The following is a 20631-nucleotide window of genomic DNA, read 5'->3' as shown; positions in this document are numbered from 1 at the left end:
GACACCTTTAAACATTTCTTTTTGTCAGAAATAATCACTGGCTGTAATAGAGGCATAAACAAAATATGATGGAATGCAAACTATGTATGTGTGAACAGGGGTTAGCAGAAAAGGAAACAATTAAATCCTAGTCACTGGGGAAGATTCCTAAGGAGCAGAGTTTTTAAGCAGGTTGCTTGGCTCTCATTGGTCTGACCCTGGAAGGTGGCGGTTTCTGTAGTCTGTTTCCCTCACCCATGATATGCTGCTGGAGTTCCCTTCCCCATCCCCCCACAGCAGAGCTGCTGCGACTCCCTTTCTATCTGTTCCAGGATGGTGTCCTCTCCCTGCACGCAGGCAAGCTCACGGACTTGCTCCCGTATCCTGGGACTGAGCCTTGGGACTGCAGCCCTGTTTGCTGCTGGGGCCAACGTGGCACTCCTCCTTCCTAACTGGGATGTCACCTACCTGTTGAGGGGCCTCCTTGGCAGGCATGCCATGCTGGGAACTGGGCTCTGGGGAGGAGGCCTCATGGTAAGTGTCCGGGGTTCCCTGAACGTGAACTCTCAAAGAGACCCCGGCGGGGAGCAGGAAGGTGGCATGGGAAGAGTGTTTTGATTCCTTGCAGAAAAGTTTATTCTAACAAGCTGATCTTGGGTCTGTAGAAGCTCTAAGAGACAGGAAGCCTAGCTTGGGACCAGGCAGGTCGGGTGTGAAAGTTAACATCCACAGCGTTAGATCAGGCTCGTCATACAAATGTGGGTCCCCAGAGTCAGAGTCAACAGGACTGCGTTCATGTGAGCTGCCAGCCACTCTAACAGCTGTGGGCAGCACCTAGAAACAGCCGGCAAAGTCGATTTCCCCATCTCAACATTCTTCTCTCTCCTGCAGGTACTCACTGCAGCTATCCTCATCTCCTTGATGGGCTGGAGATACGGCTGCTTCAGTAAGAGTGGGCTCTGTCGAAGCGTAAGCACCAGATTCCACTCTTCTAACACCCAGAATGTCTCCACCTCTATTACTCTAGAGGCAGGGCGGTAAAGAGGCAATTTTGGTCTTGGGGCCTGAAGTCAGGTCCTCACTGTGACCCTCAGTAACGCTAAGTTCTTGGGCAAGTTGCTTCATCTTTCCAGTTTCAGGCTTTCATCTGTAAAATGGGAGCTGATCAAGTCAAGGGAGTAGTGCTTAGTGAAGCCCAGACGTCTGTACCAGTGTGAGGACCCAGACGTCTGTACCAGTGTGAGAAACTGTTACTCTCTTAGGGTGTTGGACAATATGGACATGAGTTATGACACTGTAATCATGTGTCATTGATGGAAATTTTCCTAGTTATTTTAACTAATATTTTCTTAGAACAGGAAAGTTTTCCAGAGATCATCTAATCACTAGATTCTAATCTAACCCCTCCATTTTACAGATAAACTGAGGCCCAGAATAAATTTCTACCTTATTAATTACAGCAGCAACTGTATAAACTTGAAAGATCTCAGTATATGTGTGTGTAACAAACACACACACACACACACACACACACTCGTTCTCAGACATGAATCTGTGGCCTTATGGTAACTCCACAGCCTGCTCTGATATCTGCAGCCCACATGTTGGGAAGCCCACTGACTCAGTTACATGTTAAAAAATCAAATATAGGCCAGGCGCGGTGGCTCACGCCTGTAATCCCAGCACTTTGGGAGGCCAAGATGGGCGGATCACCTGAGGTCAGGAGTTTGAGACCAGCCTGGCCAACATGGTGAAACCCCGTCTCTACCAAAAATACAAAAATTAGCTGGGCGTGGTGGTGGGCGCCTGTAATCCCAGCAACTCAGGAGGCTGAGGCAGGAAAATCTCTTGAACCCGGGAGGCGGAGCTTGCAGTGAGCCGAGATGGCGCCACTGCACTCCAGCCTGGGCGACAGAGCGAGACTCCGTTTCAAAATAAATAAATAAATAAGTACATAGATAAATAAATAAACACTTGCACATTTCATTCACTGTCTGTTCTCATTCTGGTTTTCCCCGTGGCACGTAGTTCTGACACTTGAATGTGCATGAGAATCACCTGGAGGGCTTTTGCCGGAACACGGATTGCTGGGCTCCCTCCCCAGAGTTTCTGATTCAGGATGGCGGGGAAGTTTTGCATTTCTAACAGGTTCTCAGGTGATGTGATGCGGCTGGGCAGGGACCCCATTTTGGGAACCACTGCCCTAGGCTTACTGATTCATCTTGACTCCTTTAACTCAGAGTCAAAACTTACTATGCACCTTTGTCTGATCCCTCCCCAACTCCAAACCAGCTTGACCTCAGTGGGAGAATGACTCCATGACTCTGCAGAAAAACGCTATGTAGGTGTTATTCACATTTTTAAAATAGGCATTTTTGGGGGAGGGAGAAAAAAATCTAGAACCCTAAGAAAGAATCCAATATGGGCCGGGCACGGTGGCTCATGCCTGTAATCCCAGCACTTTGGGAGGCTGAAGCAGGTGGATCACAAGGTCAGGAGATTGAGACCGGCATGACCAACACAGTGAAACCCCATTTCTACTAAAAATACAAAAATTAGCTGGGTGTGGTGGCGCATGCTTGTAGTCCCAGCTACTTGGGAGGCTGAGGCAGGAGAATCGCTTGAACTCAGAGGCAGAGGTTGCAGTGAGCTGAGATCGTGCCACTGCACTCCAGCCTGGGCGACAGAGTGAGACTCTGTCTCAAAAAGAAAGAGAGAGAGAGAAAGAAGGAAGGAAGGGAAGGAAGGAAGGAACGAGAAAGAAGCCAATGTAGAAGCAGGCTAGAAACCTGTCAAGGAAGGAAACCCAGTTATTTTCTGGGAGGGCAGTGGGAGCACAGACTGATGGCCAAGAAAGCTCTCAGCTGGAGAAACACAGCGACAGAAGTGGAGTCATTTCAGAGCTTGGCTGCAGCTTCTCTCTCGCTGTTTCTCTCCCTTCTTTCCCTCCCTCCCACTTCTCTCCTTCCCTTCTTTCCTGCTTCTTTCTTTCCTTCCTTCCCTCCCTTCCTTTTTTTTATCCTTGATTTGAAATAGAGAAGAATCAGAGTTGGGAACCTGGAACTTTTGAAAATGCAGCTTTTCCTTAGAAGAGTCAGTGGTGGGCCTGTGGTAGCTTCTTCTTTAGCTCAGAGGCTGAATGGCTGTAATGTGCAAAAGGTTTGTGATGCCAAGCTGCTGAGCAGCTCAGGCGAACTCACGGTCAGGGAGATCCGGGGCCTGCGATTCTGCTTCTTGGTCCTTTCTCTCCTAGAAACCCCTCACGGCCTCCCCACCATGGGTTATGCTTCAAAGGGGGTGCCATGGACAGAATTCTCCCCCATGACAGGACGGAAGAACACTGAGACCAGAGAAGTCAGACCTGTGCAGACCGCCCCACAGACTCCCCAGCTGCGACCCCGTCTTAGCTCAGCGTTTCTCCTCCCTCCGCAGGCTCCCCAGCTGCGACCCCGTCTTAGCTCAGTGTTTCTCCTCCCTCCGCAGGTGCTTACTGCTCTGTTGTCAGGTGGCCTGGCTTTACTTGGAGCCCTGATTTGCTTTGTCACTTCTGGAGTTGCTCTGAAAGATGGTCCTTTTTGCATGTTTGATGTTTCATCCTTCAATCAGACACAAGCTTGGAAATATGGTTACCCATTCAAAGACCTGCATAGTAGGTAAATGGGTGGAGGCTTGGGCTTGGTCTTTTCAGACAGAGAGAGAGAGAGAGACAAAAAGACACACAGACGAACTACAAGCTCCTTTGGGTCACACATCCTAGCATCTTGCTCCTCTGATACTCAGAAAATTGCAAATGGAGCAGTAACGGTCACCCTCATGAGCCCAGTCCCATGACCCGGTCAGGGGAGACCCCAGTTTTCTACTGGGGTTGCCTGTTTGGCTTTCCTTACTTATCGCCTGACCCCTGGTCTCCTTATTTTTTGGGATAGGAATTATCTGTATGACCGTTCGCTCTGGAACTCCGTCTGCCTGGAGCCCTCTGCAGCTGTTGTCTGGCACGTGTCCCTCTTCTCCGCCCTTCTGTGCATCAGCCTGCTCCAGCTTCTCCTGGTGGTCGTTCATGTCATCAACAGCCTCCTGGGCCTTTTCTGCAGCCTCTGCGAGAAGTGACAGGCAGAACCTTCACTTGCAAGCATGGGTGTTTTCATCATCGGCTGTCTTGAATCCTTTCTACAAGGAGTGGGTACGAATTATAAACAAACTTCCCCTTTAGGTATCCCTGGAGTAATAATGACAACAAAATTCACTGCAGGTCGGTGGAATGATAGAATGCATTTTAAATCACATTGTAAACTTCCAGGTGATCCATGGATAGGATAAATAACTAAGTTATTATAATTGTTTAGGAATTTATAGTCCATAAAATATCCTCCAGCCAGGGTCTCATTTCAGCTTCTTGACAATCCCATAAAGTTGGCCATTTGTTACACATAGAGAAGTTGAGGCTCACAGAGGGTAACAGGCTTGCTGTAAAAGCACACAGTGAAGTTAAGGTGAAGTCAGCACCTGACCCCCTATCTCCCTGTTGTTTTGTTGTTGCTGAGACAGGGTCTTGCTCTGTTCCCCTGTCTGGAGTACAGTGGCACAATCATAGCTTACTGTAACCTACAACCCATGCACTCAAGCGATCCTCCTGCCTTAGCCTCCGAGTAGCTGGGACTACAGGCACACACCACTACACCTGGCTAATTTTTAAATTTTCTGTAGAGAGGGAGTCTCGCTATATTGCCCAGTCTGGTCTTGAACTCCTGACCTCAAGTGATCCTCCCACCTTGGTCTCCCAAAGCGCTGGATTACAGGCATGAGTCACTGTGCCTGGCCCCAACCCCCATCTTCTAAATTCAACTTCTCCAGTTATTGTGGACTAAATAGTGTTTCCTCCAAATCTGTAGGTTGAAGCCCTAACCCCCAATATGACAGTCTTTGGTGGTGGCACTTTTTTTTTTTTTTTTTGAGACAGTCTCGCTCTGTCACCCAGGCTGGAGTGCAGTGGCGTGATCTCGGCTCACTGCAACCTCCACCTCCCAGGTTCAAGTGATTCTCCTGCCTCAGCCTCCTGAGTAGCTGGGATTACAGGCATGTGCCACCACACCCAGCTAATTTTTGTATTTTTAGTAGAGACGGGGGTTTCACCATGTTGGCCAGGCTGGTCTCGAACTCCTGGCTGCAAGTGATCCGCCCACCTTGGCCTCCAAAAGTGCTGGGATTACAGGTGTGAGCCACCGCGCCTGGCCATGATGGCACCTTTAAATTAGTAATTAAGGTTAAATGAGACTGGGCGCAATGGCTCACACCTGTAATCTGAGCACTTTGGGAGGCCAATGTGGGAAGATCACTTGTGACCAGGGGTTTGAGACTAACCTGGGCAACACAGTGAGACCTCGTCTCAAAAAAAAAAAACACAACAACAAATGATTAAATGAGGCCATAGGGTGGGACCCTAATTAAATAGGACTGGTGTGCTTATAAAAAGAGGAAGAAAGAACAGAGCTCTCTACACTGGCTCAAAGAAAAAGGCCCTGTAAGGACCCAGTGAGAAGGCGGCTGTCTGCAAGCGCAGGGGCGAGGCCTCAGGAGATACCAAACCTGCTGGCACCTGGATCTTGGACTTCTAGCCTCCAGCACTGTGAGAAAATCTATTTCAGTTGCTTAAGTGCCCAGTTCATGGTATTCTGCAACAGCAGCCTGGCAGACTAATACACCAGCATTCTCTTCACTAGTGTTCAAGAGTTCAACAAGTAGAGGAGCATCACCTCTGTCCACACAGTTTGGATATCTGTCCTCACCCAAATCTCATGTTGAATTGTGATCCCCAGTGCTAGAGGTGGGGCCTGGCAGAAGGTGTGTGGATCATGAGGCGGATCCCTCACGGCTCAGAGCTGTCTTTGTGATAGTGGGTTCCCGCGAGATCTGGTCATTTAGAAGCGTGTGGCACCTCTGGCCTCTCTCTCGCCTGCTCCTGCTCTCACTATGTGACTCGCCTGCTCCCTCTTCACCTGCTGCCATGAGTAAAAGCTCTCTGAGGCCTCCCCAGAAGCTGAGTGATGTGGGTGCTATGCTTCCTGTAACCCCTGCAGAACTGTGAGCCAATTAAATCTCTTTTTCTTTTTTATGGAGTCTCGCTCTGTTGCCCAGGCTGGAGTGCAGTGGCATGATCTCGGCTCACTGCACCCTCTGCCTCCCAAGTTCAAGCGATTCTCCTGCTTCAGCCTCCTGAGTGGCTGGGATTACAGGCACCCGCCACCACACCTGGCTATTTTTTTTGTACTTTTAGTAGAGATGGGTTTTCACCATATTGGCCAGGCTGGTCTTGAACTCCTGACCTTGTGACCCGCCCACCTCGGCCTCCCAAAGTGCTGGGATTACAGGCGTGAGCCACCCAACCCGACCTCACAGCTGCTTCTCACACGGCACCTAGAAGCAGGGGCCTCCTGCTCTCCCACTGCGGGGTTTTCAGTCAGGTCGGGCTGGGTGGTGAGGAGAGTCAGAGCGGAATGAGGAAGATGCTGGTGGGAGAGTGTGGTGTGACAGGCAGGAAGAGGACAAGGCAGGCAGAAGCAGCCTGGGAGGAACCTGGAAGATGGGCACTGGCAAGAAAAGTGGTGGGCGGTCCCCAGAAACGAGTTTGAGAACCCCAGGCTCTGGCCGGGCACGGTGGCTCACACCTGCAATCCCAGCACTTTGGGAGGCCACGGTGGGTGGATCACCAGAAGTCAGGAGTTTGAGACCAGCCTGGCCAACATAGTGAAACTTCAGCTCTACAAAAAATACAAAAATTATATGGGCGTGGTGGTGCATGTCGGTAATCCCAGCTATTCAGAGGCTGAAGCAGGAGAATTGCTTGAAACCAGGAGACAGAGGTTGCAGTGAGCCGAGATTGCACCACTGAACTCCAGCCTGGGGGACAGAGACTCTGTCTCACAAAAAAAAAAAAAAAAAAAAAAAAAGAGGCCGGGTGCAGTGGCTCACACCTGTAATCCCAGCACTTTAGGAGTCTGAGGCAGGCAGATCATGAGGTCAGAAGTTCACGACCAGCCTAGCCAACATGGTGAAACCCCGTCTCTATAAAAAATACAAAAATTAGCCAGGTGTGGTGGTGTGCACCTGTAATCCCAGCTACTCGGGAGGCTGAGGCAGGAGAATTGCTTGAACCCGAGAGGCGGAGGTTGCAGTGAGCCGAGATCATGCCACTGCACTCCAGGCTGGGGGTCAGAGCGAGATTCTGTCTCGGGAAAACAAAAAACAAAAAAAACCCTCCCGGAAACACAGCACCCCAGGCTCTGTTGGAAGGGAATGTGGGGCCCAGGTGCTGCTCTATCCCCTCCTCAGTCCCCTGGATCCCAGCTTGATTCCTCCACTATTCTGCCTCAGTGAGGAGTTGCTGAAGCACTGGGGGCTTCCAGAACACAGGGGTGCCTCCCTCTCCCAGGCTCAGAGGCACGGTTCTGTCATCCGACAGTCCAACCAGCAGAGCTCGTAGGAGGCAGGTCCCTTCAAACACCACCTCACCCTTTCCTCTCCAGGGCTGCTGGCCTAGCAGGCCTGCCAGGGTGGGGAAGGTGGACACAGAGGCCTGTGGGAGACACAAGGAGGCACAGCCTCTTGAGCAGGCAGGAAGTCTCCAAGTCCAGAGAGCACATCCTATTCCTGCATACAACATCCAGGAAGCTTGCCTGGGCTTGTCTCACATTTCCCTCTTGGCTGGTTAGTTTCAGGGTCATGGCTAGGATATGCCTGATATGGAGAAGCTTCTCTTGCTGGGGAAAGGTACTGACACCTCCACACAACTCACGCAGAATTTTTTTTTTTTTTTTTTTTTTTGATACAGAGTCTCATGCTGGAGTGCAGTGGTGTGATCTCGGCTCACTGCAAGCTCCGACTCCCTGGTTCAAGCAATTCTCCTGCCTCAGCCTCCCAAGTAGCTGGGATTACAGGCACATGCCACCACACCCAGCTAATTTTTGTATTTTTAGTAGAGACCGGGTTTCACAATGTTAGCCAGGATGGTCTTGATCTCCTAACCTCATGATCCGCCCGCCTCGGCCTCCCAAAGTGCTGGGATCACAGGTGCGAGTCACCGTGCCTGGCCAACTAATGAAAAGTTTAAAGAATTTATATCTAGTTTTGGATGTTAGGCATGCACACACAAGTGCATGCACACTCATACACATCATCTCCACAAGCCCCATCCTGGCTCAGCCCTATTCTGATGGGTCAGCAGGACCCCAAGGAGAGAAGGGTGGGTCCTTGGCACTAAGACAGTTCACAGTGGTTAGCTGACTCCTTCTTGCCTCCATTCTTTCAGGAACTGCATATAGTACAGAACATGACAGCGATTCGAAAAACAATATCCCAGCTGGCTGTGATGGCTCATGCCTGTAGTCCCAGCACTTCGGAAGGCTGAGGTGGGATAATCACTTGAGCCCAAGAGTTCAATAGTAGCCTGGGCAGCATAGCCAGATCCTATCTCTACAAAAATTAAAAAGATTAGCCACGCGCGGTGGCATTCGCCTGTAGTTCCAGGTACTCCAGAGGCTGAGGTGGGAGGACTGCTTGAGTCCAAGAGGTCGAGGCTGAAGTGAGCGGTGAGTGTGCCACTGCACTCCAGCCTGAGAAACAGAGCAAGACCCTGTCTCAAGTGGGAAAAAAAAAAAAAGGAATCCCTGCCCTTTCAGCCTCTCCTGTAAACAGGGATTACAGGCACGAGCTACCTCATCGGGCCTTAGTTTTTGAAGCTAGCAGAGGCCAAGATACAACAGCCTTCTAAAACAGGACCAGGGACTGGTGCTTATAAGCAGGGAATGCGGCAGAGTACGATGGCTCACGCCTGTCATCCCAGCACTTCGGGAGACCGAGGTGGGCGATCACCTGAGGTCAGGAGTTGGAGACCAGCCTGGCCAATATGGTGAAACCCCGTCTCTAATAAAAATACAAAAAAAATTAGCCGGTCGTGGTGGGGCGCGCCTGTAATCCCTGCTGCTTGGGAGGCTGAGGCAGAATTGCTTGAACCTGGGAGGTGGAGGTTGCAGTGAGCCGAGATCGCGCCTCTGCACTCCAGCCTGAGTGACAGAGCGAGACTTCGTTTAAAAAAATAAAAATAAATATATATTTTTAAAAGCGGGGAATGCAGCCTAAGTCTCTTTCCTTCCTTCCTTTTTTTTTTTTTTTCTTTTTTTGAGACGCAGTCTCGCTCTGTCGCCAGGCTGGAGTGCAGTGGCGCGATCTCGGCTCACTGCAACCTCGGCCTCCTGGGTTCAATAGATTATTCTGCCTCAGCCTCCAGAGCAGCTGGGGTTACAGGCACGCGCCACCACGCCCGGCTAATTTTTGTATTTTCAGTAGAGATGGGGTTTCACCATGTCGGCCAGGATGGTCTTGAACTCTTCCTGACTCAGGTGATCCGCCCGCCTCGGCCTCCCAAAGTGCTGGGATTGCAGGCCTGAGCCCCCGCACCCGGCCGCCGCAATTACTTCTGCACCAGCCTAATACCTCAAGTCCAGGAGCCTCAGGCCCCGCGTCTATTTCCTCCGACTGCGGCGCGGCTGATACTGCCTGAGGCGGGTGGAAGCTGTCGCGCGTCCGGACGCGACCAGTTCCCGCCCAGCAGCCGGTGCGCAGGCGCGGGCAGGGAGGGCGGCTGTGCGGGGCGCTCGCGGGCTTCAGCGAGGCGGGAGGGCGGCCCTGTTGCCCTGGAGACGCTTTCCCTGCTGCCGGCCGCGACCGCAACCCGCTAGGCCTTCATCGCGAGCTACGCCCGGACCGAGAAGCCCCGGCATGGCCACGTCCATCGGAGTGTCCTTCTCGGTGGGCGACGGGGTGCCTGAGGCTGAGAAGAACGCAGGGGAGCCCGAGAACACCTATATTCTGCGGCCTGTTTTCCAGCAGAGGCGGGTAGAGGACGGGCTGTGGCGGGGCGACCTCGAGCGCGCTGGTCTGAGGGGCGGAGCTCGCCTGGGACCTGGGCCACGGAAGGAGCGCGGGGGACGCGCGGGGTCCGCGGGGCGGGAGGCGGGAGGCCGCGAGGCGGGCGGGCGGCCCTGCTGTGACGTCCGGGCGCCCCTCCCGCTGCAGGGGCCGCAGGGGACCCCACCCGCTTCCTCAGTGTTTGGGCGCCGGGCGCGTCTTAGGGTGGCGCGGCGGGAATGGTTGGCCCTGGGAAACCCGCGATGGCGTCCTGAGTAAGGAGATGGGTAGAATAGAGGCAGGAAGCCACTCGCGTCGGATGCCGTTCAGCCGTGATTCGAGGGTGACTGTGCACACGGGTGCCAGGATGGGCTCACTCCCGGCGCGGGAGCTGCATCTGTGCGAAGTCCTACCCGGGTGGGATCTGGAGGCCCTTAGACCACCGCAGCGAGCCCTCGCTAGGATTAAGGCTCACGGGCCAGAGCAGAGGGTACTCAGCTAGGTTTGTGAGATCACTAACTTTACACACACACACACACACACACACACACACTGAAAAAAATATCAGGCTCACGGGCCAGAGCAGAGGGTACTCAGCTAGGTTTGTGAGATCACTAACTTTACACACACACACACACACACACACACACACACTGAAAAAAATATCAGGCTCACGGGCCAGAGCAGAGGGTACTCAGCTAGGTTTGTAAGATCACTAACTTTACACACACACACACACACAACACACACACACACTGAAAAAAAATGTCAGGCTCACGGGCCAGAGCAGAGGGTACTCAGCTAGGTTTGTAAGATCACTAACTTTACACACACACACACAACACACACACACACACACACACACACACTGAAAAAAAATGTCAGGCTCACGGGCCAGAGCAGAGGGTACTCAGGTTTGTAAGATCACTAACTTTACACACACACACACACACACACACACCACACACACACCACACAACACACACACACACACACACACACTGAAAAAAATGTCAGGCTCACGGGCCAGAGCAGAGGGTACTCAGCTAGGTTTGTGAGATCACTAACTTTACACACACACACACACACCACACAACACACACACACACCACACAACACACACACACACACACTGAAAAAAATGTCAGGCTCACGGGCCAGAGCAGAGGGTACTCAGCTAGGTTTGTAAGATCACTAACTTTACACACACACACACACCCCATATTTGCTTGGCAAATATGGAAAACAGGAATTTTGATTATAATGTGATACAAATTTCTTTGTTTATTTTTATTCTCTTGGTAACTCACAGAAAAAGTGATACAAATTTCATACAGGATTTTTCCCTTGGGTAGAATGAACACAGAGAAAGATACCCTCAGTTATCTTGGTAAAAGGTTCTGAATGCCCAGAATGCCATTCAGCCGTATTTTTTTATTTTATTTTATTTTATTTTATTTTGTGAAAGCGTGCAGAACAAAATTAACAACAAGTATATATTTTGTTTTGGGGGAGAGGGGAGTATGAGAAGCTCATTATTGGATGTATTGAGTTGCCTAATAAACATTCATATGGAGCATGAGTTGGAATGTGTTGAAGTTCAGTGCAGGTCCAGGTTGAAGATACACATGTGGCCTATGATTTGTCTTAATTTGTTTATATTTTATAATAAAAAATATGAAAAAGAAGGATTAAGTGGTACTAATGACAAAAAGATGGGAGAAGTTGCGGTATGAAGGTAAGCTGGGGTTGTGGAGTCACCGACTGGATGTTCACAAATTGTTCCATTCAGGTTCAGGCCCTCTGTGGTTAAAGACTGTATCCATGCTGTGCTCAAGGAGGAACTGGCAAATGCTGAATATTCTCCAGAAGAAATGCCTCAGCTTACAAAACATTTATCAGAAAACATTAAAGATAAATTAAAAGGTAATCATGGTGATAACTGGAAATGACTCATTCTCTTCACAGAGTCAGTATTACCCATTTGCCCCCTCTCCATCTTTAAACAAAGGACATTGGGGCCAGGTGTGGTGGCTCACGCCTACAATCCCAACACTTTAGCATGCCAAGGCAGGAAGATTGCTTGAGCTCTGGAGTTCAGTACCAGCCTAGGCAACATGGTGAGGCCTCATGTCTATTTTTCTTTTTTTTGAGATGGAGTTTCACTCTTGTTGCCCAGGCTGGAGTGCAATGGCATGATCTTGGCTCACTGCAAACTCCGCCTCCCGGGTTCAAGTGATTCTTCTGCCTCAGCCTCCTGAGTAGTTGGGATTACAGGCATGCACCATCACGCCTGGCTAATTTTGTATTTTTAGTAGAGACGGGGTTTCTCCATGTTGGTCAGGCTGGTCTCAAACTCCTGACCTCAGGTAATCCACCCGCCTCGGCCTCTCAAGGTGCTGGGATTACAGACATGAGCCACCGCGCCCAGCCGACCTCATGTGTATTAAAAAGCAAAATAAAGGCCGGGCGCAGTGGCTCACGCCTGTAATCGCAGCACTTTGGGAGGCTGAGGCGGGTGGATCACGAGGTCAGGAGATTGAGACCATCCTGGCTAACACGATGAAACCCTGTCTCTACTAAAAATACAAAAAATAGCTGGGTGTGGTGGCACACGCCTGCAGTCCCAGCTGCTTGGGAGGCTGAGGCAGGAGAATCACTTGAACCCAGGAGGTGGAGGTTGCAGTGAGCTGAGATCGCGTCACTGCACTCCAGCCTGGGTGACAGAGTGAGACTCTGTCTCAAAAAAAAAAAAAAGCAAAATAAAAAAATAAAACATCTCTATTAAAAAAACGTAAATAGAATGTTAGCTGTGGATTCTATTAAAGACAACTTTTTCTTCAGTGTCTTGTCTTCTCTAATTATTTGGTGACTTTTACTCATGTAAGTTTTTGCAGATGGGGGAAAAGAGTGAAGATGTGAAATAAAACACTGTCCAAAAAATCTTAGTATTCAGAAAGACCAGAAAGTACAGGGACTCCTTTCCCCTGTATTTCTTGGTTGTTTCTTCCCCCAAGCTGTCAAGTCCTCAGCCTGGCATTTAGTACCTGCAGTCCATCTCTCCTCCCTAATCCTTAGCTACTTCCCTTACTCAACCCTCGACCCCTACCAAACTACATCTGTAGAGCATATTTTGTGCTTTTCCTACCCTGTTCTCTTTGTCTCTCTGATTGTTTTGTTTTTTTTTGTTTTGTTTTGTTTTTGAAATAGGGTCTTGCTGTTTTGTCCAGGGTGGAGTGCAGTGGTGTGAACATGGCTCACTGCAGCCTTGACCTCCTGGCTCAAGCGATCCTCCCATCTCAGCCTCCCAAGTAGCTGGGTCTACAGGCTTGTGCCACCGTGCTTGGCTAATTTTTTAATTTTTAAATTTTTCTGTAGAGATGGTGTCTTGCCATGTTGCCCTGGCTGATCTTGAGCTCCTGGCCTCAAGTGATTCTCCCACCTAGGCCTCGCAAACTGCTGGGATTGCAGGTGTGAGCCACTGCGCCTGGTCTCTCTCTTTTGTTAATAATGTTATACCGTCTGATCTGAAAAGTTCTTTTTTTTTTTTTTTTTCTTTTTGAGACAGAGTCTCGCTCTGTTTCCCAGGCTGGAGTGCAGTGGTGTGATCTCAGCTCACTGCAACCTCCTCCTCCTGGGCTCAAGTGATCCTCCCGCCTCAGCCTCCCAAGCAGTTGGAATTTCAAGCATGCGCCACCACACGTGGCTAATTTTGTCTTGAACTCCTGACCCTCAAGAGATCTGCAAGCCTTGGCCTCCCAACATGCTGGGATTACAGATGTGAGCCACCGTGCCCGGCCTATTTCCATCTGCTCTTCTTAGAAGACATCATTTTTTGAAGAGAAAGAATATCTTCATAAAAGTAATACATGCTCGTTGTAATAAACCTAGACAATACAAAAAAGTATCCATAAGGTTTTTTTTTGAGATGGAGTTTTGCTGTTGTTGCCCAGGCTGGAGTCCAATGGCATGATCTTGGCTCACTGCAATCTCCGCCTCCTGGGTTCAAGCGATTCTCCTGCCTCAGCCTCCTGAGTAGCTGGGATTACAGGCAAGTGCCACCATGCCCGGCTAATTTTTGTGTTTTTAGTAGAGACGGGGTTTCTCCATGTTGGTCAGGCTGATCTCGAACTCCTGACCTCAGGTGATCCGTCCGCCTCGGCCTCCCAAAGTGGTGGAATTACAGGCGTGAGCCACTGTGCCTGGCCCCTTAAAGTTTTAAAATATTAACCAAAGGCAGTTACTATTTAATATTTGTGTTTATTGTTTTTTTCTGAATTTGTTTTTAGTTTAAGAAATTAAAAAATACAGAAAAGTACAAAGAATAGCAATCCTGTGTATTTCTATCACCCAGAATTAACTGCTGTTAGTATATTAGCATTTTTGTTTTTAGACTTTTTAATGAAGGTTCATCGTTAAGATTTTTTGTAAAAAATGGTACACATTCATTATACAAAATTTAAACACTAGAAAAATAAAATGAGAAAAATCACCTGAATGCCACCACCAATAAACAATCATTAATATTGGCCAGGCACAGTGGCTCACGCCTGTAATTCCAGCACTTTTGGAGGTTGAGGCGGGCGGATCTCTTGAGCCCAGGAGTTCGAGACCATCCTGGCCAACATGGCAAAACCCTGTCTCTTAGAAAAATACAAAAATTAGCCGGGCTGGTGGTGTGCATCTGTAGTCCCAGCTATTCGGGTGGCTGAGGCAGGAGGATCACCTGAGCCCAGGGACGGAGATTGCAGTGAGCCAAGATTATGCCACTGTGCTGCAACCTGGGCAACAGAGTGAGACTCTGTCTCAAAAAAAAAAAAAAAATCATTAATACTAGGCAAACATTACAACAGACTTCTACATGTCCATATACATGGACAAATGACAATGGGATATTGTAGACCTGTTTCCCATAGTCATGTCATATTCATTCTGTAACTGGATCAGTTGCCTCCTGTTTAGTTCCTTGACCATGTCATTTTCATTGTTGAGTTCCTTATTTTCTTTTTTTGAGACAGGGTCTTCGTCACCCAGGCTGGAGTGCAGCGGTGTGATTTCAGATCACTGCAGCCTCAACCTCCCGGGCTCAAGTGATTCTCCTGCCTCAGCCTCTCAATTAGCTGGGAAGAGTTCCTTATTTCAACTCCTAGATGATGAGATTTTGTTGTAAGTTGTTTTCAGAAAGGACTCAGAAATGCCGTATTCCCTGGATTCTTTTGTGTTTGAGAATGCCTGCCTTTTGCCTTTAAAGTAGAATATACTATGGGCCAGGCGCGGTGGCTCACGCCTGCAATCCAGGCACTGTGGGAGGCGGAGCCGGGTGGATCACCCGAGGTCAGGAGTTTGAGACCAGCCTTGCCAACATGGTGAAACCCCGTCTCTACGAAAAATACAAAAATTAGCCGGGCGTGGTAGTGGGCATCTGTAATCCCAGCTACTTGGGAGGCTGAGGCAGGGGAATCACTTGAACCCAGGAGGCAGAGTCTGCAGTGAGCCGAGATAGTGCCACTGCACTCCAGCCTGGGCGACAGAGCGAGACTCCATCCCCCGCCCCTCCACCCCCAAAAGTAGAATATACATAGTTTTGAGGTAATAATTTATTTTCTTGACCCTTGTGCTTCATTGCCCTCTGACATTCAGTGGTAACTTGTTGTCAAGAAATCTGAGCCCAGCTTGATGTTCTCTGCTTAAGGAATCCTCACCTTTGGCTGGACGTGGTGGCTCACGCCTGTATTCCCAGCACTTTGGGAGGCCAAGACAGGTGAGTTACCTGAGGTCAGGAGTTTGAGACCACCCTGAACAATATGGTGAAACCCCGTCTCTAGTAAAAATACAAAATTTAGGGGCTGGGCATGGTGGCTCACGCCTGTAATCCCAGCACTTAGGGAGGCCGAGGCGGGCGGATCACTTGAGGTTGTGAGTTCGAAACCAGGCTGACCAACATGGAGAAACCCTGTCTCTACTAAAGATACAAAATTAGCCAGGCGTGGTGGCGCATGCCTGTAATCCCAGGCTGAGACAGGAGAATAGCTTGAACCCAGGAGGCAGAGGTTGCAGTGAGCCAAGATTGCACCATTGCACTCAAGCCTGGCCAACAAGGGCGAAACTCTGTCTCAAAAAAACAAAACAAAAATTAGCCGGGCTTGCTAGTCCCAAACTCCTGACCTCAGGTGACCCACCCGTCTCGGCCTCCCAAAGTGCTGGGATTTCTTGGGAGGCTGAGACAGGAGAATTGCTTGAACCTGGGGGGTGAAGGAGGTTGCAGTGAGCTGGGATCGTGCCAGTGCACTCCAGCCTGGGCAACAGAGCGAGACTCTGTCTCAAAATAAATAAATAAATAAATAAATAAATAAATAAATAAAATAATCCTCATCTTCACCTTTATGCTCAGTAGCTTTTCTAAAGATTCTGACTTTCTAATGAGCATTTTATAGCTTTCAATCTGCAGACTTTATTCTTTCCATATAAAGGAAATTTCCTTATATCTCTGAATATGTTTCCTATTCCATTCGTTACTTCCTTTTCTTCAGGACACCAAATATTGTTATGTTGAGCCATCTTTGTCTTCTATATTTATTAGTTTTTCTTTCCCATAATTTCTTTCTTCTTCTTTTTTTTTTTTTGAGACAGGGTCTCACTCTGTTGGCCAGGCTGGAATGCAGTGGCGCAGTCTTGGCTCACTGCAGCCTCAAGCAATCCTCCCATCTCCGCCTCCCAAGTAGCTGGGACTACAGGCGCCTGCCACCACACCCGGCTAATTTTTGTATTTTTTGTAGAGACGGGGTTTTGCCATTTTGCCCAGGCTTCTTCCTTTTTTATTGCCATTTACTTGTGATTTTCTTAAACCAGTAATTGTTTTCATTTGTGTCTTTTTTCTTGCCATTTTGAATTTATTAGTTCTGGAATGATCTTTTCTGGGTATTCTGTTTGTTCCCTAGGGCCGTGGTCTTTCTTTTCATCTCTTTATGTTGCTTAATAACCTGATTGAGGCTGGGTGCCGTGGCTCACACCTGTAATCCCAGCACTTTGGGAGGCCGAGGCGGGTGGATTGCCTGAGCTCAGGAGTTCATGACCACCCTGGGCAACATGGTGAAACCTCGTCTCTACTGAAATACAAAGAATTAGCCAGGCGTGGTGGTGCACGCCTATGGTTCCAGCTACTTGGGAGGCTGAGGCAGGAGAATCACTTGAACCCAGAAGGCGGAGGTTGCAGTGAGCCGAGATCGCCCCACTGCATTCCAGCCTGGGTGACAGAGGGAGACCCTATCTCCAAAAAAACAAAAACAAAACAAAACAGGCCAGGTGAGGTGGCTCACGCCTGTAATCCCAGAACTTTGGGAGGCAGAAGCAGGTGGATCACTTGAGGTCAGGAGTTCCAGACCAGCCTGGGCAACATGGTGAAACCGTGTCTCTACTAAAATATAAAATTTAGCCAGGTATGGTGGTGCGTGCCTGTAATCCCAGCTACTCAGAAGGCTCAGGTGGGAGAATCGCTTGAACCCAGGAGGTGGAGGTTGCAGTGAGTTGAGATCATCCCACTGCACTCCAGCCTGAGCGACAGAGCGAGATTCCCTCTCAAAAAACCAAACCAAATCAAACAAAATCATAACCTGGCCAGGTGCGGTGGCTCACGCCTGTAATCCCAGCACTTTGGGAGGCCGAGGTAGGTGGATCACCTGAGGTCAGGAGTTCGAGACCAGCCTGACCAAGATGGTGAAATCCCGTCTCTACTAAAAATGCAAAAAAAAAAAAAAATTAGCCGAGCGTGATGGCGCATGCCTATAATCCCAACTACTTGGGAGGCTGAAGCATGAGAATTGCTTGAATCTGGGAGGTGGAGGTTGCAGTGAGCCTAGATCTTGCCATTGCACTCCACCCTGGGCAGAAGAGCGAAACTCTGTCTCCAAAAAAAAAGTTAAAAAATTTGATAACCTGATTGAGTACTTATTTCATTGAGTTTATAAGCTTACATTGTTCTAGTATTGTGAATTAATTGTGAGGAATAACTCTTCGTTCCTTGATTTGTATTACTTCCTAGGTTGATTTTTTTCTTTCTTTTCTTTTCTTTTTTTTTTTGGACTGAGTTTCGGTCTTGTTGCACAAGCTGGAGTGCAATGGCGCAATCTTGGCTCACCTTAACCTCCACCTCCCAGGTTCAAGCGATTCTCCTGCTCAGCCTCCCAAGTAGCTGGGATTACAGGCGTGCACCACCACGCCCTGCTAATGTATTTTTAGTAGAGATGGGATTTCTCCATGTTGTTCAGGCTGGTCTCAAACTCCTCACCTCAAGTGATCCACCCGCCTCAGCCTCCCAAAGTGGGATTACAGGTGTGGGCCACCGTGCCCAGCCAAATTTTTTCTCTTACACAGCTCCTTCCTTCCTTCTTTCCTTCCTTCTTCCTTCCTTCCACTGGAAGTTTCTTTCTTTTCTTCAATATTTTTTGAAAAATTGTTTTGTGGACCAGGTGTGGTGGCTCACGTCCGTAATCCCAGCACTTTGGGAGGCCGAGGCAGATGGATCACCTGAGGTCAGGAGTTCGAGAACAACCTGACCAACATGGAGAAACCCCATCTCTACTAAAAATACAAAAGTAGCCAAGTGTGGTGGTTCATGCCTGTAATCCCAGCTACTCGGGAGTCTGAGGCAGGAAGATTGCTTGAACCCAGGAGGCAGAGTTTGTGGTGACCTGAGATCACGCCATTGCACTTCAGCCTGGGCAACAAGAGTGAAACTCCATCTCAAAAAAAAGAAAAAAAGAAAAATTGTTTTGTGGAGATGGTGGTCTTGTCATGCTGCCTAGGCTGGTCTTGAACTTCTGGCCTTAAGAGATCCTCCCGCCTCAGCCTCCAAAATTGCTGGGATTACAGGCGTGAGCCATGGCACCCAGCAGAAGCTTTGTTCTTCTTTGTTACTCTTTTGTTTTTGCTATTGCATCTTTGTTTATTGCCATTTGGCTGCATTTCATTTTGTTGTGCCCATACATCATAATTGCTCTGATATAATGTGGGGGATTTTTAATTGCTCTGATATGATGTGGGGGATTTTTAATTGCTCTGATATGATGTGGGGGATTTTTAATTGCTCTGATATGGTGTGGGTTTTTTTTTTAAGTTCCCCTCCCCACCATATCTGAGACTATTTTATTTTCCCCTCAGAACCGTGATTTAAGGGCTGAGTATTATTCTAGACACATTTCTGTATAATTTGGGATTGGTTAGAGAAAGGAGGAAGCTCAGCTGAGTTGTGTGCAGTGTTTTTTAAAAATAACTTGGACTCTGTCTTTACACACTCTGAATCAGGTTCATGCCCCACATGGGAGATTGCCTGTAGTCTTCAGATTGTCCCGTTTACAGTGTAATCTTGGAACCTGCACGTTCATCAGAGAGAGCTGGCTCTTTCAGCTTCGCTTATTTCACTTCTTTTGTTTTTTTAAAACTCTTTCCACTATTCCTTGGTCAAAAAAGTAGAAAGATTCAAAAATGCCCATTCCATTTTTTTCTCTTCAGACTTGGTGTTAGTGAGAATTTTCAGGATTTTGCTGCTTTAGCAACGTAGTTTCTGGAGTAAACAGCTAAATGGTGCTGGATCACCTCGTTTTGCTCTGGAATCTTCATTTTTTTTCTTGTCTGTCTTACTGAACAGCTTACAGTTTCTTGGAGATCCCATGCTCTCCTGCTGTGCACATGCCCCTCGTTCTCGGACGTGTGGGGAGATGGGGCTGACCTGGTCCCCTCTTACTCAGCCCTCAAGACTCAGTTTATTGGCCGGCCACATCTTCCAAGAAGTCTTTTCCAGTGATTTCTTGCCACTGCCCAGACAAACAGAGGAACTGCCCCCACTGGCTCTGTGTTCCTGATGTACATCATACATGCCACTCCTTGAATTATAAGCATACTCAATTTATAATTTATTTTTCTATTTTCTTTTTTTTTTTTTTTTTCGAGATGGAGTTTTGCTCTTGTTACCCAGGCTAGTGTGCAATGGTGCGATCTCAGCTCACTGCAACCTCCGCCTCCCAGGTTCAAGCAATTCTCCTGCCTCAGCCTCCCGAGTAGCTGGGGTTACAGGGATCTGCCACCATGCCTGGCTAATTTTTATATTTTTTAGTAGAGACGGGGCTTAACCATGTTGGCCAGGCTTGTCTCAAACTCCTGACCTCAGGTGATCCACTGGCCTCACCTTCTGAGAGTGCTGGGATTACAGGCGTGAGCCACCGTGCCCGGCCTATTTTTCTATTTTCCTTTGAGTTCTTTATTACTGTGAGTTCTTTAAGGCAAGAAAAACGTCTTATTTATTTCTCTATCTTGAAGGTTCAGCTCACTAGCTGACTTATAGTAGGGGAAAAAGGAAGGAAGCTAAGGTTTATTGAAGGACTAGTATTTAACAGCACTGTTTAGATGCTTTAGATATTACTATATCTGACCGGGCGCGGTGGCTCACGCCTGTAATCCCAGCACTTTGGGAGGCCAAGGTGAGTGGATCACCTGAGGTCAGGAGTTCGAGACCAGCCTGGGCAACATGGTGAAACACCTTTTCTACTAAAAATACAAAAATTAGCCAGGTGTGGTGATGCATACCTGTAGTCCCAGCTACTGAGGAGGCTGAGGTAGGAGAATCACTTGAACCCTGGAGGCAGAGGTTGCCGGTGAGCTGAGATCGTGCCACTGTACTCCAGCCTGGGCAACAGAGTGAGAATCCATCTCAAAAACAAAACAAAAAAAAGATACTACTATATCTTACCTAACCTTATA

At 48.7% G+C, this 20631-nt stretch overlaps 2 protein-coding genes and 3 long non-coding RNA genes across 9 annotated transcripts in view, besides 2 other annotated features; 4 read left to right on the top strand and 1 right to left on the bottom strand.

Moving 5' to 3' along the window:
• The window catches only part of TM4SF19 (transmembrane 4 L six family member 19), a 14842-nt gene extending 10486 nt beyond the window's left edge, over window positions 1–4356 (top strand). Inside the window, exons 2-5 of one of the 3 annotated variants that reach the window (NM_001204897.2) lie at window positions 312–513; window positions 871–948; window positions 3463–3628; window positions 3906–4356. In NM_001204897.2, the coding sequence (NP_001191826.1) occupies window positions 313–513; window positions 871–948; window positions 3463–3628; window positions 3906–4189 (729 nt within the window). In that variant the 5' untranslated portion in view covers window position 312 and the 3' untranslated portion in view covers window positions 4190–4356. Of the gene's footprint in view, window positions 1–311; window positions 514–870; window positions 949–3462; window positions 3633–3905 lie in introns of all 3 variants that reach the window. The other 2 variants (NM_138461.4, NM_001204898.2) reach the window with 2 other exon arrangements.
• The window catches only part of TM4SF19-DYNLT2B (TM4SF19-DYNLT2B readthrough (NMD candidate)), a 22336-nt gene extending 10518 nt beyond the window's left edge, over window positions 1–11818 (top strand). Inside the window, exons 2-6 of the long non-coding RNA NR_037950.1 lie at window positions 312–513; window positions 871–948; window positions 3463–3632; window positions 3906–4159; window positions 11672–11818. This is a non-coding gene — a long non-coding RNA (TM4SF19-DYNLT2B readthrough (NMD candidate)). The remainder of the gene's footprint in view (window positions 1–311; window positions 514–870; window positions 949–3462; window positions 3633–3905; window positions 4160–11671) is intronic.
• On the bottom strand, window positions 2333–9571 carry TM4SF19-AS1 (TM4SF19 antisense RNA 1). 2 transcript variants are annotated; one of them, NR_046724.1, is made up of 2 exons: window positions 9466–9571; window positions 2333–4073 (listed from the first exon to the last, which is right to left on the bottom strand). It is a non-coding gene; the product is annotated as a TM4SF19 antisense RNA 1 (long non-coding RNA). The 2 variants fall into 2 exon arrangements; NR_121665.1 differs by lacking the exon at window positions 2333–4073 and adding an exon at window positions 4230–4443.
• Window positions 9663–20631, top strand: part of DYNLT2B (dynein light chain Tctex-type 2B) — a 27022-nt gene continuing 16053 nt past the window's right edge. For both annotated transcript variants that reach the window (NM_001351628.2, NM_152773.5), the window contains exons 1-2: window positions 9663–9863; window positions 11672–11805. In NM_001351628.2, the coding sequence (NP_001338557.1) occupies window positions 9751–9863; window positions 11672–11805 (247 nt within the window). In that variant the 5' untranslated portion in view covers window positions 9663–9750. The remainder of the gene's footprint in view (window positions 9864–11671; window positions 11806–20631) is intronic.
• Window positions 9734–9833: an enhancer, noted in NCBI's record as "active region_21087". NCBI's record gives its function as "activates an Ori minimal core promoter by ATAC-STARR-seq in GM12878 lymphoblastoid cells {active_cell/tissue: GM12878}" and the evidence as "EXISTENCE:reporter gene assay evidence [ECO:0000049][PMID:35858748]".
• Window positions 9894–10143: a silencer, noted in NCBI's record as "silent region_15060". NCBI's record gives its function as "represses an Ori minimal core promoter by ATAC-STARR-seq in GM12878 lymphoblastoid cells {active_cell/tissue: GM12878}" and the evidence as "EXISTENCE:reporter gene assay evidence [ECO:0000049][PMID:35858748]".
• LOC107986031 (uncharacterized) lies at window positions 10312–11461 on the top strand. Its single transcript, XR_001740547.2, has 2 exons — window positions 10312–10929; window positions 11061–11461. It is a non-coding gene; the product is annotated as an uncharacterized LOC107986031 (long non-coding RNA).

Source organism: Homo sapiens, chromosome 3, assembly GCF_000001405.40.
Source record: "Homo sapiens chromosome 3, GRCh38.p14 Primary Assembly".
Lineage (NCBI taxonomy): Eukaryota > Metazoa > Chordata > Mammalia > Primates > Hominidae > Homo > Homo sapiens.
Note: the sequence above shows the minus strand (reverse complement) of the source record. Positions and strands in the feature narration are given on the sequence as shown.